The 15999-nt window shown below is 55.3% G+C and overlaps 1 protein-coding gene, 3 long non-coding RNA genes and 2 other non-coding genes across 17 annotated transcripts, besides 8 other annotated features; 3 read left to right on the top strand and 3 right to left on the bottom strand.

Moving 5' to 3' along the window:
* On the bottom strand, positions 6 to 868 carry LINC01962 (long intergenic non-protein coding RNA 1962). The gene is made up of 2 exons (NR_108031.1): positions 702 to 868; positions 6 to 305 (listed from the first exon to the last, which is right to left on the bottom strand). It is a non-coding gene; the product is annotated as a long intergenic non-protein coding RNA 1962 (long non-coding RNA).
* Positions 597 to 676: a silencer, noted in NCBI's record as "silent region_16785". NCBI's record gives its function as "represses an Ori minimal core promoter by ATAC-STARR-seq in GM12878 lymphoblastoid cells {active_cell/tissue: GM12878}" and the evidence as "EXISTENCE:reporter gene assay evidence [ECO:0000049][PMID:35858748]".
* On the bottom strand, positions 647 to 718 carry TRT-TGT6-1 (tRNA-Thr (anticodon TGT) 6-1). Its single transcript has one exon. It is a non-coding gene; the product is annotated as a tRNA-Thr (tRNA).
* Positions 657 to 836: an enhancer, noted in NCBI's record as "active region_23782". NCBI's record gives its function as "activates an Ori minimal core promoter by ATAC-STARR-seq in GM12878 lymphoblastoid cells {active_cell/tissue: GM12878}" and the evidence as "EXISTENCE:reporter gene assay evidence [ECO:0000049][PMID:35858748]".
* On the top strand, positions 850 to 5841 carry TRIM7-AS2 (TRIM7 antisense RNA 2). 6 transcript variants are annotated; one of them, NR_183283.1, is made up of 3 exons: positions 850 to 1152; positions 2302 to 2427; positions 3194 to 5841. It is a non-coding gene; the product is annotated as a TRIM7 antisense RNA 2 (long non-coding RNA). The 6 variants fall into 6 exon arrangements; NR_183284.1 differs by having other exon boundaries at positions 850 to 1100; NR_183281.1 differs by having other exon boundaries at positions 850 to 976.
* Positions 857 to 1196: a silencer, noted in NCBI's record as "silent region_16786". NCBI's record gives its function as "represses an Ori minimal core promoter by ATAC-STARR-seq in GM12878 lymphoblastoid cells {active_cell/tissue: GM12878}" and the evidence as "EXISTENCE:reporter gene assay evidence [ECO:0000049][PMID:35858748]".
* On the bottom strand, positions 2884 to 14156 carry TRIM7 (tripartite motif containing 7). 7 transcript variants are annotated; one of them, NM_203293.3, is made up of 7 exons: positions 13549 to 14156; positions 12505 to 12600; positions 8811 to 9041; positions 8055 to 8077; positions 7650 to 7765; positions 7143 to 7178; positions 2884 to 4637 (listed from the first exon to the last, which is right to left on the bottom strand). In NM_203293.3, the coding sequence occupies exons 1-7, from the start codon at positions 14068 to 14070 to the stop codon at positions 4126 to 4128; spliced, it is 1536 nt and encodes a 511-aa protein (NP_976038.1). In that variant the 5' UTR covers positions 14071 to 14156; the 3' UTR covers positions 2884 to 4125. The 7 variants fall into 7 exon arrangements, with proteins under 7 accessions (NP_976038.1, NP_976039.1, NP_976040.1 ...); NM_203294.2 differs by lacking the exon at positions 13549 to 14156 and adding an exon at positions 12982 to 13300; NM_203295.2 differs by lacking the exon at positions 13549 to 14156 and adding an exon at positions 12982 to 13300 and having other exon boundaries at positions 12437 to 12600.
* Positions 9035 to 12077, top strand: TRIM7-AS1 (TRIM7 antisense RNA 1). The gene is made up of 2 exons (XR_001743050.3): positions 9035 to 9976; positions 11548 to 12077. It is a non-coding gene; the product is annotated as a TRIM7 antisense RNA 1 (long non-coding RNA).
* Positions 11309 to 11603: a silencer, noted in NCBI's record as "tiled region #12726; HepG2 Repressive non-DNase unmatched - State 3:PromF". NCBI's record gives its function as "represses a minimal TATA promoter and a strong SV40 promoter by Sharpr-MPRA in HepG2 cells {active_cell/tissue: HepG2}" and the evidence as "EXISTENCE:reporter gene assay evidence [ECO:0000049][PMID:27701403]".
* Positions 13415 to 13484: a silencer, noted in NCBI's record as "silent region_16787". NCBI's record gives its function as "represses an Ori minimal core promoter by ATAC-STARR-seq in GM12878 lymphoblastoid cells {active_cell/tissue: GM12878}" and the evidence as "EXISTENCE:reporter gene assay evidence [ECO:0000049][PMID:35858748]".
* Positions 13525 to 13854: a silencer, noted in NCBI's record as "silent region_16788". NCBI's record gives its function as "represses an Ori minimal core promoter by ATAC-STARR-seq in GM12878 lymphoblastoid cells {active_cell/tissue: GM12878}" and the evidence as "EXISTENCE:reporter gene assay evidence [ECO:0000049][PMID:35858748]".
* Positions 14115 to 14434: a silencer, noted in NCBI's record as "silent region_16789". NCBI's record gives its function as "represses an Ori minimal core promoter by ATAC-STARR-seq in GM12878 lymphoblastoid cells {active_cell/tissue: GM12878}" and the evidence as "EXISTENCE:reporter gene assay evidence [ECO:0000049][PMID:35858748]".
* Positions 15739 to 15838: a silencer, noted in NCBI's record as "silent region_16790". NCBI's record gives its function as "represses an Ori minimal core promoter by ATAC-STARR-seq in GM12878 lymphoblastoid cells {active_cell/tissue: GM12878}" and the evidence as "EXISTENCE:reporter gene assay evidence [ECO:0000049][PMID:35858748]".
* On the top strand, positions 15828 to 15899 carry TRA-TGC3-1 (tRNA-Ala (anticodon TGC) 3-1). The gene has a single exon. It is a non-coding gene; the product is annotated as a tRNA-Ala (tRNA).

The following is a 15999-nucleotide window of genomic DNA, read 5'->3' on the forward strand; positions in this document are numbered from 1 at the left end:
AGAAGGCCAGCATACCTTAGTTATATATTTTGTCTAAAATAAACTAAAATTTTGTTTTAGGCTGAAAGCGAATGTGACAGGTAGAGCCGTTACTCCCGGGTCATGAATGTGGCCGTCTGCGCTTTTCCGTGTTAACTCCACAGGAAGAAATCAGACCTTGCAGCACGGAGGCGGCGGGGACCCGAAGGCCGAGGGCGCGCAGCCGCCAAGCGCAGAGCCGCAGACCAGAGCCTCAGCGCGCGCGTCGGGGAACGCCGCAAACAAACGCATGGCGGGAAGGGGCGCGGTAGTGCCATCGTCTCCCCCTGGAGAGAGGGAAGGAGACACGAGGGCGAGTCCCTAGCTGGAGTGGGAAGACCGGAGAGAAGCGGAAAGACGCTCCCGGGGAGCGCGCAGAAGGAAGTGAGCGGGGTCGTGGGGAGAGGGCGCGCGGGGCCCAGGGAACCCGTGATGGAAAAGGAAGCCCGCAGTGGGTCTGACTCTTCAAGAGATAAGGAAGTGGTAGGAAAGTAGCCTTGCGCGGTGGGTATCTTAGAGGCAAAAAGAAAGTGACTCCGCCAGGCTCTGGCCTCCCAGGAAGGCGGAAGTAGGCTTGCCTATCTTCCACTTTTCTATCTTTAAGGAAAGAATAGGAAAAGACGGAAGCAGGCCCCAGCGAGATTTGAACTCGCGACCCTGGTTTACAAGACCAGTGCTCTAACCCCTGAGCTATGGAGCCGGCTGTTGGTTTCCTTTTGACACAAAAGCAGTTGACGCTGTCGCCGGCGCCGCGCAGCCGCAGTCCGCTGAACCCTCGGCCGAGTTCTGTGGCTGCTGGACCCAAGCTCCTCCCACGGCCGCAGCCATCTTGCCCGTGCGTCCGTGGCACGGAACGGCCGTTAGTCCCGGCAGAGGGCTCCGCGAAGACAGTGCCGTCGTTGGGCGCGCGCGCGGGCGGGAGCTGTCGGGGCGGGGCGGCACCGCCGAGCTCCGAGCTGTGAGGACCGCCCCGGGCCTTGGGCGGGGCGGGGGCCAGGGAAGGGCGTGCGCAGGATTGGGGAGCACGTTTTGCGTCTTGCTGTGCGTGAGGAAGCGGGGATCCAGGTCAAGGCTATGGAAAGGTCAGGGAAGGGTGTCAGTGCGCCCGTCCTGCAGGGAGTCCAGATCCGAGAGGTTAGGGCGGGACCTGGGGCGAGCTGGGCGGTGGGGGAACAGTGGGGTCATCAGGAGGTGGAGGCCCAGCGGGAGTGTGGCGGGGGAGGCGGGGAATCAGGAGGGCCAGGTGTTTGGAGGCGCTGGGGTGGGAAGGGTCCAGGCGAGGTTGCGGGTGGGTGCCAGCCCCGTCTCACATTTGGATGAAGTAGGAAAAGGCAGCTTTTAGGGTACACCCTGACATGTTCTGTCAGGGCCCTTAAAGGGCCCACGGGCCGGAGGAGAGGGGAAAAGGATGAGGGCTCAGCCTGGCAAAGGACAGAAAGTGGTGGGTGTAGGAGGTGGACCTTGGTCTGGTGGCCTAGCCTGCCCTGTGCTCCCTGCAATGCCGGGTGACTTGGGTCACTGGGCGGCCAGGCCAGAGGTGGGCCTCTAGGTGCCCCCCATTCTGGATGCTGAGGGTCCCTGTGAGGGTCTGGCGGCAGAGGCCTGCGCTTATGGGTCAGCAGCTAGGACTGATGGGTTGAATAAGAAGGGCCCAAGTTAGGCCAGTTGTTCTCACAGACCCAGAGGTCCCTAGAGTTTATGATGCCCAGAGTCTAGGAGAGGGAAATGCACACACATGCCCTCGAGGACACCAGCATCCTGACATCCAAGTTACTGTACTGCCCTGGTTAGCAAGAAAGAACATCTGTTCCCTTCTCTATGCAATTGTTACAGTAACTGTTGTTACATTTCTTAAGATACATAGCTATATATGTAGTCACTCTGCAAACACACACACTCTGATAGACACACGATTGCACTCATGGACACAAAAACGGAAAATAAACATGCGGACAGCTACTCCCAGTCCCCAGACCTGACCCTCATGTGACACCTTCACCAGACATGGTACTTTCTGGGACCTGTAATGTGTGTTGTGATGCCCAGCACATTTGTTGGATGGTACAAAGGGAATTATGATACTTAATCAAAAAGCCATACAAGCCAGATAACATTAAGGCTTAACGGTAACAATAGGTGATTCAGTTAGGAAATTAATGTTAGAGATCGGTTTTCCTTGTGGAAATCAGTGGTATTCAAATGCCTGAATTGGCTACCCGGTTTTAGAGCTGCTCTCCATGTATGAGCAGGACATAGGATTCACTCTCTGGAATGCTTCTGTAGGCAGGACTTTGAAATGACCCTGTCCTCAGCCTGGAGGATGCGGTATTCTGATTGTCTGGTGCTGTGTCAACTGGGCCTGCCTCTGGGATAGTGTTGTGGCTGCCCCACGAGAACCCTATATGCCAGGTGAGCTTGAAGCACCTCAGAGACAGAGCACTGAAGCTCCATGACACAGGGCTATTCAGCTATCATTGCCCCTGTTTGCCAGCACCTCTGTCTAAATAACTTGTGTGGGACAGAATTAGGTCCGAGTCTGGTATTCTGTTCATCTAGCCTGGTAGCCAGGTAGTGAGAGAAGAAACCTGTGGCCCTTGTCTAAATATGAGGTGGTCAGTATTTAACAACAAATCAACAATAGGGTATGACCAGACTGACTTGGGTCTGTTTGCAACACCTGAACCTTATGCACATGCTCATAAATGCCCTCTCCAAAATACACACACACACCCCCAAGAAAGGTGAGATACAAATACACACTCCTCCCACACAGAAACATGCATGCTCATTCACTCTGGCAGAAACCCTGATCACACTTACGCTCCTGCACTCAGATCTAGGGAGTAGAAAATGGGCCAAGCCAACTCCAAAGACAGCTCATAGTTTCATTTTCATCTCCTCACCCCCTTCCCAGGGGAGCGCTGAGCAGGGAGTAGCCCACTGCCACCCTTCCAGAAGCCCAGCTACCCAGAAGCTGGAGAACAAGTAGACAAGGGGCTGAGGCTGGCCAGGGGAATGCCCTCCAGGGCATGGGCTGAGAAGGCCTTGGCACCAGGGTGCTCTGCTGTTGGCATTTTCCTGAGTCCGTCAGGAGCATATTTGTGCTCTGTGTGTTGTTTAGAGCTGGCTGCATCTTTAAAATTGTAAGTGCCAACTTGTGTTTTGTGTTTCAAAGTTCCAGAAGCAAAAACAAAAAAAGTTCGGGTACAGCGGCTCACACCTGTAATCCCAGCTCTTAGGGAGATGGAAACTGGAGGATCACTTGAGGCCAGGAGTTCAAGACCAGCCTGGGCAACATAGCAAGACCCAGTCTCTTAAAAGAAAATTAAAAAGAAAGAGTAAATAAAGTTCCAGAAGCTTTGCTCTCCTTATCCAAGCAGCGTTTGTACTTTGGCACTGGAAAGTGCGGGAGTCAGGGGTTTGTGAGAGCACGTGTTGGTTGTCGCATTGGTCAGGATGCACCCATCACTCTGTATCCTCCGGCTAAGGAGTGCTGGAGAGCCGTGATGCCCACTGGCTGTTGTCCCGGGCTTGTCACTCAAAGACGGGACAGATGTCTCCTTCCAGTTCTGGCCCAGACTGTCCTCTGAGCTGGGAGCACAGGGCTCCTCCCTGAGTAGATGACCTGTCAGGTCAGCTGGATCCAGAGGTCCCACAACCTCTCAAGGCAGAGCTGGCAGCTGTCCAGAAGGCAGCAGCCATGATAACAAACGTGGTTGGCCCAGGCCCAGACCTGCCCCCTGGCAACAGAGAACAGCAGGACTGGCTTTGACATTGTTTTAGGGAGCCAGGCACCCTTCCCAGTCAGGGCAGAAGCCCCCTGGAGAGCTGGGCTCCTGACCTCACCGGCCTCCACCTCCTGAAGGCTCTGGCCAAATCCACATGTGACCTCAGGAAGGGAACACCCTCAGGAGTCCAAAGCCCCTGTTCCCCTGCTCGGTTGGCCACAGTCACTCTCCTGCCTCGGGGTTGTGTCTGTAGCAGGCTCTCTTGGGCAGCAGGGGTCAGGAGCACGGAGGGCAGACCCAAGACGGACCAGGCATCTCTGGGGAGGCGACATCCCCTCCCACCGGCAGCCCAGAGACAGGAGCTCCCCAGCAGTGCCCCTCAAGGCCAGATTCGCAAGTAGGTGCCCGTGGAGCAAACAGAGAAAAGCGGGAACACGCGCTCCTGGAAGTTGACGCGGAAGGTGTAGAGGTGGCGCATGTCCTCCACAGCGTAGAAGGACACGGCTCCCACCTCCAGGTCCAGGGCCACCCGCACGCGCGACAGGTGCCCGCAGCTGAGGGGCGACCGCTCGGGGCTGGTCACGGCCCAGTACTGGCCGCCGTTGAGCTGCAGGGCCCAGACGCCCTCCTCGGGAGTGAAGGGCGTCAGGCCCTTTCGGCGCACGCTCTCGCGGGCCACGCCAAAGGCCCAGCCGTCCTTAGAGCCCACCTCCACCTCCCAGTGATGCCGGCCCGAGGAGAAGCCGCAGGACGCCAGGACGCGGGTGTTGGTGTCGAAGCGGCAGGGGTGGTTGGGCAGGTCCTGGGCCCGCTCGCCGAGGCGCACGCCCTTAAGATCCAGAGAGAGGATGAGGCGCGGGTTGGCCGTGTCGGGATCCAAGGTGAGCTCCACTGCAGACAGAGACAGGGAGAAATGTCCCCACGCAGCCAGGCCCCTGGCACAGTCTTTGCAGGGCCGCGCCCGACCTTGCTTTGCAACCTGCCTGCCTTTCCCTCTAGAATCCCCCCAGCACCCAGCGCCAAGGCCCAACCAACCCCCACGCTCTGCCTCCCAGAGATTTTGCTTCCCCCCGCCCCGACCACTCAACAAGTACTTACTGAAATCAAACAAATGCAATGTGTGGGCCTGGTTTGAACCCCAATTCAACAGATGGGGATATTTGAATGCTAGACATTGGAAAGAATCATTAATCTGTCCAGGTGTGAGGACTGCTTTGTGGTTATGTTTTACAAAGTCTGTTTCTTTAGAGATAACACACTGAGGTATTTATGGCAATGATATGTTGTCTCTGATGCTTTAAAATAATACAGTAGGCCAGGCGCAGTGGCTCACGCCAGTAATTCCAGCACTTTGGGAGGCCAAGGTGTGTGGATCACGAGGTCGGGAAATCAAGAACATCCTGGCTAACATGGTGAAACCCCGTCTCTACTAAAAATAAAAAAATAAAATAAATTAGCCGGGCGTGGTGGCGGGCGCCTGTAGTCCCAGCTACTCGGGAGGCTGAGGCAGGAGAATGGCATGAACCCGGGAGGTGGAGATTGCAGTGAGCTGAGATCACGCCACTGCACTCCAGCCTGGGCGACAGAGCAAGACTCTGTCTCAAAAATAAAAATAATAATAACAATAATACAGTGGAGGCCGGGTGAGATGGTGCACAGCTGCGATACCAGCACTTTGGGAGGCCAAGGCCAATGGGTCACATGAGGTCAGAAGTTTGGGACCAGCTTGGGCAACATGGCGGAAAACTTGTTTTGTATTTTCTCTACTAAAAATACAAAAATTAGCCCGGCATGGTGTCCTGTGCCTGTAATTCCAGCTGTTTGGGAGGCTGAGGCATGAGAATCGCTTGAACCCAGGAGGCAGAGGTTGCAGTGAGCAGAGATCAGGCCACTGTACTCCATGATCTCACTCCAGAGTAAGACCCTGTCTCAGAAAACAAAATAATCCCACAGGAAGTGGATAGCAGTGTCTATGAAAACTGTGGCCACTAATTGATCACTGCGGACGGTGAGAGATGGGTATGTAACATTCTTTACACTCTTCTCTCTACTTTTGAGTATGTTTGAAATTTTTCATAATAAAAAGTTAAGGCCAGGTGTAGAGGCTCATGCTTGTAATCCTAGCACTTTGGGAAGCAGAGGTGGGAAGACAGCTTGAGCCCAGGTGTTGGAGACCAGCCTGGGCAATATAGCGAGACATCCGTCTCCACAAAACATAGAAAATTTAGCCAGGCATGGTAGTGTGCTCCTGTAGTCCCAGCTACTCGAGGACGCCCAGGAGAGAGGATCGCTTGAGCTTGCGGGGTGGAGGCTGCAGTTCCACTGCACTCCACCCTGGGCAACAAAGCGATACCTTGTCTCCAAAAAAAAAAAAAAAAGTTAAAATATGTACACTTACTGTGAGCACTACTACGATTGAGGCCCTGGGGGTACCACAGAGTATCAGAGTAGTCCTGCCTGCCTGCAGCTTCCTTCCCACAGGGAGAGGATTGAGGATAGATTATAAACAGAAGATGAGAGGGACCAGAAGAGCAGGCTGTAACTTCAACCAGAGTGGCCAGGGAAGACCCTCACTGAAAAGGGGCATCGAGCAGACAGATATAAAGAAGGCAAAGAAGCAGGCCACAGGACTGGCTGGGGAAAGCATGCTCCAGGTAGGGGCCTGGGGTGGGGGAGCCTGGCAGTGCAAAGGCCCCGGGATGGGTGTGTGCTTGGTACACTGAAGGAACAGCAGGGAGGATGTGTAGCTGCGTGGAGTAGAAGGGGTGTGCAGTGAGGCTAGAGCCCGTGGGCCCTTGAGACCTCCATGGGGACTCTGACCTTTACCAAGTCAGAGGGGCTGTGGCAGGGCTCTGAGCAGAGGAGGGCCTGGTCTCACTCAGGTGTTTTAGGTGGCACCCAGACACACTCTGACTTAGCTCAGACATCAGCATCAGGAATATGTGCCCTCCCCTCCCCTCCTCTGGGTGTTGGATGCCACACATTCCAGAGCTTTGCAAGAGTAAAAACGATATTCCTTCCAGTCTTTAGCTTCCCCTTGCTTTCCTGGTCCCCTGTATACACCCCATTCCCAGGAGAGGTTTCCATCCATCTTGGAGTGGGGACCGGGTAGAGGCTCACCCAGGTGGCCGAGAAGCCTTTCCCAGTCTGAGTATCTCGAGGTACAGGGCATTCCTGCTCCTAACCAACCTGCAGCATTTGGGCCAACATCTGAGGGTGTCAGAGCTCCCAGGATGGGGAGGGGGTGGTGTGGGGGAGGGGACAGAGGAACAGGGTTGCTGAGGTGGGTGGGCTGAAGGAACCGACCATATGCAAAACCCTGAGATGGTCACGAGCAGGGAGTAGGATCTCTGTGTGGCAGACAGTCCATACTCGCCATCACAGCACCATCCCTACCTTTCTCCTCTTTCTCCAGCTCTCCCCGAAGGTCCTCTGAGGAGGAGAAACAAAGCAAGGCGTGCATGAGCGACACGGGAGATTATATGGCAAGGTCACCAGCTCTTTATATCCCAACTGACTCATTCATTCCCCAGAGACTCCTAAGGCCAAGAGTGAACGTGCAGGCACAGGGCCAAGCATGGGGAGCGGGGGGCAGGGGGCCCATACCCAAGCATTCTAGCTCTACCCAAGTGGCTCTGAGCTGAGCTCCCCTGCACAGCTCTCTTCCTAACCCCAGTCCCCCAGCAGTACCCCTCTACCCCATCTGTGCCCATGAGAAGCGGCATGCCCTGCGGGGGCCTGACTAGATTTGCCACCACAGCCCCTACACCAATCTGGCCATGGCACAGCCAGCTCCTATTTTCACACACAGCTTCTGGAAAGCACACCCAGGGACCCCTGAGCTACCAGGAACCCTCCACCACCACCGCACTATGTGGCCCAGCTTGGCGCCCAGGCCCCTACCTTTGAACTTCTTCAGCATCCCTTTTAAGACAAAGGTCTTGAGAGAAACATTCCAGACTTTATTCTTCATCTCAGAAGAGACTGTGGTTGGCTTGGGGCCAGGCACATTGCTACACCTGCAGGACAAGGGCTCTGAGAAGGGCCTGTGTGCACCATTTTGCTCCCACAGGCTGTGACAATTAGGATGGCGAGGTCCTCTTGGCAGAAAGAGGTAGAAAAGGGAGAGCCAGACCTCATGCAGAAAAACCCATGGCCAGGCAGGTGGGCGTTTGTCTCGGAAGGTCCCCAGGCAAGCAAGTCGGGGGATCAGGAGGTGAGAGGTCAGGGGACAGGGAATAAAGACAAGGCTCAGTGAAAAGGGAAGAAGCAACTTAGAGAGGCCCCAGGAGCTGTGAGGTCACTCACCTGCTCAGCGTGCTTTTGAATTCCTGGAAGGAAAGATAGAGGAAACCAAATCAGCATCAGGTAACCTCCATTCACCTCTGAGAAACAAAGCTTGCCCCTTGCTGTGCCTCCCAGATGTAAGCATAAGCAAGTGTGCCACGCCTCACTGCCTGCGTGGGCCTCAGGGGCAGCAGCTTCCAGTGGCTGCTGGCTGCAGGGTGTCTCACCCACGCAGTGGACCTCTCACCCTTTGCCACAACTCTTCACGTGCTTTCTTTCTATCTTTGCTGCTTTCTTAGTTACAGAATCATCACTGGAGCTATCCCATGGGACCCAGTGCTGCGTGTGTCCTGGAAACCACCTGAGGGAGGTCACAGCCCTTATGCACCTACTGCTCACTCAGCCCCATAATGACTGTTCTTAACCCATCTATGGATTGTGAAGTTTATCTAGTTGTTTATAACTTTTTTTTTAGCGAAATAGAATAGAAAACATCAAAGTGCATACGTGTAGCAAAGGTGAGTATTATTTTCTGAGACTTTTGTCTCAAGCTTGTGATTCTGAAATACGATATATATTATTGTGGCTCATAGTCAAGAAAGTTTTCACATCTCTCTAGACCTCCAACCCCAGGAAAATCAGGGCACTTCTCTCCAGTCCCCTTCAGCTCCAGATCATGTGATTCTCCTAGACCCCCCAGGACTGACACTGTTCTCTAGCTGCTGGTCCTGATGCCTTAGGATAAATGACTCGAGCCCCTGGCTGAGCCAGACTTACCTGGAGAAAGTCAAGGTCAGGCTTTTGAGCTGTCTCCTGGATCTGGCTGCTGAGCTTGGACAGCTGGGTGATCTCAACCCCGAGCTGGGCCAGGTTCTCATTCTGCTTCTGTGCCACCTCCCGGGACAGTTCCTCCAGGCGGCCTAGCAGCCGACCCTCCTGCTCCACCAGGAAAGCCCTCAGTGCCTGGAACTCTGCCCCCACCTTCTCCTGCTCCGCTGCCATCTGTTTCTGTCCCAGGAGGAGAAGTTGGAGAGGGACTTGAACATGGAGACATAACATTTGGCCAGTGGCCTGAGTCATCCCACAGGGCAAGGCTTCGTCCCTGTCACTGCTGGAGGATCGGAGACACACCCACCTACGCACGCAGTGCGTGCTCTATTGTCAGTGTCCCAGCTCTGAACAAGCTGTAGTCTGGACACATGCTCTTTTCTCCCCTGCCACAGATGCACCCACACATGTCTGTGGACCTGTGCTCCATCACCTAAACCAAGGCAGCTTCATACTCCCCCCAGAACTACGCCAAGCTGCAGCTTCCTCACTTGAAAAGCAGAAGGGATAAATTAGTGCCTCCTGGGGCAACCATAGGATTAAACTGAGATTGCTTTTTCTTCCTCAAGCACATTTATTTCATCACCCTCAAACTTTTACACTTCACTTTCTTTTTAAAGGCCATCTTTCCTGTTTAGCAGTTATAATGCTAACACATGCTCAAAATACAAAACTTGGGAGATGTAGGAAAGTAGAAAGAAGGAAGAAAAGTCCGATGCCAGTGACCAGAGGTAGCAGCACACCCCCAAGGAACGAAGTGAGAATATGCGGCATGCAAGTGTCATATTCTGTTCTTTCCATTAACAGCATACACCGGATTTTTTACTCGAGTTTTCAGATGCAGACTCATGCCCTGATCTCTTGATTTTTTATGTGAACACACGTTTGGCACTCAATATGTCCCACCAGGAAGTTCCTCTTCCTTAAAACTCCTGGGCGGAGGAAGGGAGTCCTGTGAAGTTGGGAGACCTGGGTTCAAGGTGTCCTACAATGCCCCCACCTTTCCTTCAGCTTCCAGGCAGGCTGCAGTAGCCTGGAGCGCCTTATGGATATTAACTCCCTCAACCCTGACGGCAGCCCAGTGGGGAGGGTGCACTTCCCTTCAAGTCTTACAGGTGAGGAGACAAAAGACAGACACATCACCAGGAAGTGTTAAGCCAGGCTTCTCGGCCAGTTGCCTCACAAGGAGGTAGCACAAGTGAAACAGTATTTGCCAAAATACTCTAAGCCAGGGTTTCCCAACCTTAACACAGTTGACATTTTGGGCCAGATACTTCTTGGTTGTAGGGGGCTGCCCTGTGCCTTGTAGGACATTTAGCCGCCCCTCTGGCCTCTACCACGAAATGCCAATAGCATCCCTATCCCATTGTTGACAACCAAAAATATAGTATCTCCAGACTTTGCCAGATGTCCCCTGGGGTAGGAGCATTTTCAAATAAGAGCATTCCTTCTCCCTTTTGTGTTGCAGCAATAGTTGGGCTCTACCTCTGATGTTTCATTAAGCAGGGTATTGTAAATGAGACAAGTGTCATAAATCCAGAAGTATTTTATTGCTGCAAAGAACAGGTAGAGCTCACACCTGTCATCTCAGCACTTTGGGAGGCTGAGGGGGGCAAAGTCAGGGGAGAAGGTTGCTTGAGCCCACGAGTTCCAGACCAGCCTGGGCAACACAGGAGACTACCCCCAACCCCAGCTCTACAAAAAATAAATTAAAAATTAGCCGGGTGTAGTAGTGCACACCTGTAGTCCCAGCTACTCAGGAGGCTGAAGTGGGGGGATCGCTTGAACGACTCCAGCCTTTGTGACAAAGTGAGACTCTGTCTAAAAGCAAAGCAAAACAAAACAACAACAAAAACGAATGTGGGGGTGGATGGATGGATGTTGGGAGAGGACAGAGGTGGAAGGTGTTAAGCAAGGCCTGGGGACTCCGGTCAGAGACTGTGAAGCTGCCGCCGGTGCCAGGGAAGGCCCTCTGGTTCCTGGATGTCAACCAGTGGGGGAAGAGCTGCATTGGGAGTCATTTCTCCAGTGGAGGAGGGATGAAGGTCTAGAGGGTGAGCTCTTCCTCATGGAGGAAAGTGAGTGATGAGGTAGGAAGGTCTGGGATGCACACTGGGTGCAGGCATAACAGATATAGTTGAGGGTCTGGAAAGGACCCTAGGGTGTCTGAACTCCAGGCTCCTCCTCCACCCCTCCTGACATTGAGGATGGGAGGGTCCTCTAGTTCACCTTCCTTCAATTCCCTGCCTTGACAGGTCCTAGTAGATCCTTTCATTCTTTTTTTTTTTTTTTTTTGAGATGGAGTTTCACTCTCGTTGCCCAGGCTGGAGTGCAGTGGCATGATCTTGGCTGACCGCAACCTCTACCTCCCGGGTTCAAGTGATTCTCCTGCCTCAGCCTCCCGAGTAGCTGGGATTACAGGCATGTGCCACCACGGCAGGCTAATTTTGTATTTTAAGTAGAGATGGGGTTGCTCCATGTTGGTCAGGCTGGTCTGGAATTCCCAACCTCAGGTGATCCGCCCACCTCGACCTCCCAAAGTGCTGGGATTACGGGCGTAAGCCACCGCACCCAGCCAATCCTTTTATTCTTTCAACACCTATTTACTGAGCTAGGAACTGAATTTGCAAGGTAGAAAATGACCGATGGTGATTCATGTTTGCTTATCTTTTTTTTTTTTTTTAAGGTGGAGTCTCGCTCTGTCTCCCAGGCTGGAGTGCAGTGGCGCGATCTCGGCTCACTGCAAGCTCTGCCTCCCGGGTTCACACCATTCTCCTGCCTCAGCCTCCGGAGTAGCTGGGACTACAGGCGCCCGCCACCACGCCCGGCTATTTTGTATTTTTAGTAGAGACAGGGGTTTCACCGTGTTTGCCAGGACGGTCTTGATCTCCTGACCTCGTGATCCGCCCACCTCGGCCTCCCAAAGTGCTGGGATTACAGGCGTGAGCCACCCTGCCAGGCCTCATGTTTGCTTATCTTAACCAAAATGAGCCCTCGTTTCACTTTCCTGTTCTACCCTAAGGAAGATAAAATATCATTCCAACTTGGGGTAGAGGCAGGTGCCAGTACCCAAGACCCTGGGCTGTGCAGCAGGGGCTACTGTAAACCCAAGACCCTAAACTTCCTCCCTCTGCCAGAGCCAGGGAGCAGCTCTGACGCCCTCTAGCCCCTTCTCCGTTAGCCTCGATTTCAAATAAAAACACTGTGAACATGAAATTTTTTTCACTACTGTTTTGTTGACAAAACATGCCATGAGGCTCTTTATTGTATTAATATTCCCACTTATTGAATATCCATGTTTCTCTGCAGAAATAGTAATGTGTTCCATTACAAGATGCTTCCGCAGGCCCTAACTGGTATGTTACGTAATATCAGAGTGACTGAGCGTCCTGATTCGCTGGGACAGCTCCAGTTTAAGCCAGTTGTTTTGCAATAATTATTTTAGCACTGCTTTTCACTTTAAAAAGCTCTGGTTTGTACAACAATTATGTGGACACCCTATATAATATGGACTCTATTATCTTTCTGAAATCGATTCTGCGGTTCCATAGCACACACTCCAACACCACACACACCGAGCCCTGGTGCTGAGTTCTCAGGCCTCTGTAATGTCCCACGGGGGGCCTGCGGGTGCCTGGCTCACCAGCAGCTCCTTGCTCTCCTTCTTTTCCGTGGACCGGAACACCTCACAGTCCTCCAGTTCCTTCTTCAAGACCCTCAGCCTGGACTCCAAGAGCTCCTGTAGATGAAGGGAAACAATGTAAGGTGGGGGTGAGGGGCTTCTGGAAACCCCCACCTCTGCCTTCCTGGAGCCAGCCAGGAGAAAGGGAAGGCCCTGCTCACTGAGGGGGAGGCCGGGTAGAAGTCATCTCTACAGGCTACAGGTTACACTGCGAGGTGACTCTGAAGGTCTCGGGATCTTGCTTCCCCAAAAGCATCTGCTGGACCAGCCAGACTGAAACACAAGCTCCGGCAGCCCTACCCCTAGTCGTCTCCTCTACTCTCCGCCCCCCCACCAGGAAGCCCCGTGGCTGGGAGAGTTGGAGCAGGATGGGCCAGCAAGGAGAGACTGGGGACTGCCGCCCGAGCCTCCCCGCCCCGCCCTCACCCCTGCACACACCCTCGCTGAGGCTCAGCGAGAAAATAGCAAAGAAAGGGCCCCCAGAATCGACAGCGTTGGCACAGTCAGACGGCTCTAGGTGCGCGGCTTAACCCGGGAGCCCCCTCCCTGGACATCTTGGCGAGGTCCTCTCACTCAGTTCCACGAGGTGGGGACTTTGAGCAGAGCCCGCTTCGGGGAAAGAGATAAGAGTGGGGGCAGCGGCTGCGTGGCTGTGCCGGAGACTTCCCGCGGGCAGAGAGCTGCGGAGACGCAGACCAGGCTAGAGGCTCCGAACAGACAGGAAGAACATCGCCAAGTCCGTGGGGGACGTCGCGCAGGCGGCCCAGTATCTGGCCCAGAGGGAAACGCAGTGGGGGTGGGGTGGGGGTATTGGTGATGTTGGGGGTGACAGAGAACCGCGCTCAGCCCGGGAACCAGCGCTGGGCTTCCTGGAATGGAGAAAGAAGGGAGGGGCTCACCCGGGCCTCCTGATCGACAGGCTGTTCTCTGCACCCCGTGCGCGGGAGCGCGGGACCAAGTCAGGGGGTCCCGGGGACCCACGGGGTGGGTGGGGGCTGCGCTCACCTTGGCCTCCTGCACCGCCTCGTCCAGCGGCAGCACGGCGTGCTCGCGGTGCTCGCGGGCGCGGTCGCACACCACGCAGATGGCGCGTCCGTCGTCCTGGCAGTAGAGCTTGAAGGGTTCGCCATGCTGCCCGCAGCGGGCAGCCGCTGCCCGGGCCGCGGCCGCCTGAGACCCGTGCTCTCCCGGGGCAGCCGCGGGCAGGCTGAAGCGCCGCAGGAGCGTGGCCACTGCCGCCAGCTGCCGGTTGGGCCGCAGCTGACTGGGGCGCGCGGGCTCGCGGCACTGCGGACAGGGCAGTGGGAAGGGGGGCGCGCGGGTGGCGGCCCCAACAGACCCCGCGCCCGGGCGCTCCCAGCAGCGCCCTATGCAGGCGCGGCAGAAGCTGTGGCCGCACTCGACGGACACCGGCTCACGAAAGAGCTCTAGGCAGATGGAGCACGTCGCCTCGCCCTGCAGCTCTGCCGCCAGCGCTAGAGCCTCGGCGCCGGTTCCGGGGCCGGTCCGCGGTCCCACAGCCGCCATGCGCGCTCTCCGCGCACCCAGATCTGGTCGCGCCTGGGCGGCCACTGGACCTCACAGGACGCGGAGCTGGGCGCCGAGGGCCCACTGGGAGAGGAAGGGCGGGGCTGCCACTGGGCAGGCAGAGACTCGAGCCCGGGGCGCGCCCGGCTGGGAGCCGGGAGGGGAGGCGCACGTTGACTACGGGCCATTCAAGTGCGGGACAGCGCCCTGCGCCCCGGATCTGCGCTCCACCAGCCCCCGCCCTGGCCAGCGGCCTCTCCCCCTCGCCCCCGTCCCTCAGACTCTCCAGGCCGCCCCAGCCTGACCCAGTCAGCCGCGGGAAACGGGCCGCGACAGGTGGGCGCACAAATGCTGCCAGCGCCACTCCCGGTTTCCGACCGAGGCCGACCCAGCATCGCCGGGGCAAGGGCCTGGCGCTCGGGCCACGGTGTCAGGTTCCGCCAGCGCAGGTTCGCCCCGGCCCTGTGCTGAGTTAAATTTAGAGACTGGAACCTGGTCCTGTCCCCTCACGCGCAAGCGTGGCCTTGTATCCATTCCATTACCTTTTCTGCGACTGTCCTCCGGCTTCTTTACTCTTTACTTAGTATTTGAACAGATAACACATTTATAATTTCCCATTGTATTCAGTATTATTCCCCCCCCACCGCACACACACACACACACACACACACACACACAAACCTCAGCGCTCTCTTGTCCCCCAGCTGTCTCCACAGCCCCGCAGCAGAGCTGCCTGTGTTATCCGCTTCCACACCCTCTCTCCTCGCTCACTCTGGAGGCCACTTGGATCAAGCTTTCGCCCGCACCCTCCTCAGAAACCGCCCTTGCCAATGTCACCGGGAACTTCAGCAATTCTCACCCAAAGGCGAAGACCTCGCCTCACCTCATCTGCCCCCGGATGCTCCCTCCTTCCCGACTTCCCTTCTCAGGGCCTTCCAGGACCCAGTGTCCCCGATCTTCTTGCTGTTCCTGAACCCCGTGGCCTCTGCGCTGGCTGTTCCCCTTGCGTGGACCTCTTTTCTCCCACCACCTGCATGCTCCCTCCCACCTCATTCAGGTCTTGTTTCAAACGTCTCTGCCCACGAAGCCCGCCCCGAACGCGCACACTGTGTAAAGTCGTCTCTTAGCGCGCTCCCTTCTCAGGGCCGGCTCTGTGCCCGCACTCTATCTCCTCTGGAATGTCAGCTTTCAGATGGACTGTACTAGGTTTGTTCACGGCTGAATCCTGTTTTTAGAGCAGTTCTTGGCAAGCTCAGTAAGGTTTTCTTGGATTAAACTTGGTTCGAAATTCAAAAGAGGAGCCGCAGTTCACGGTGGAAAGTAGGCCCATCGCCTGTGTCCCAGTCCTTTCTTCCTCCCGAGCAATCAACTTTACAATTCTGGATTACGTTAATCAAATATTCCGTATTTTATTGCCTCAACCCCCACTTTTAAAAAACAAAACGTAGCATCCTGCACAATTTTCCTTTCTTCTCTTTTTCAGGTCACAGTTCATTTTTGGCATCGTGCCTGATGATTGTCTCTCCTTTTTCCACAGCTGCTCCCAGGTGCTTAGCCGGGCCTAATCCTCTCTCTTGGAATCCCTTGGTCAAGACCCGCTGGTTTGGAGTCAGCGGAGGACGCTGGAACAACTCTTGCCCTGCGATGCCGGGTTTTTGCAGCGGCTGAGACCCAGCGCGTACCGGTTGCCTTCCACTCCCGGTGTCCTGAGTTAAGCGACCAATAGGGACCATCTGGGAGAGCTGCTGAGAGTAGGTGGGGATGTAGCTCAGTGGTAGAGCGCATGCTTTGCATGTATGAGGCCCCGGGTTCGATCCCCGGCATCTCCAGTGTAGTTTTGCACATTCAATTATTGTTTTCGATTTTCCTTTCAAATTTTGAAATCCAGCATGTTTGAAGAGCTCCAAGAAAAAACCCAGAGGGTGGAGT

This window comes from Homo sapiens, chromosome 5 (assembly GCF_000001405.40).
Source record: "Homo sapiens chromosome 5, GRCh38.p14 Primary Assembly".
Lineage (NCBI taxonomy): Eukaryota > Metazoa > Chordata > Mammalia > Primates > Hominidae > Homo > Homo sapiens.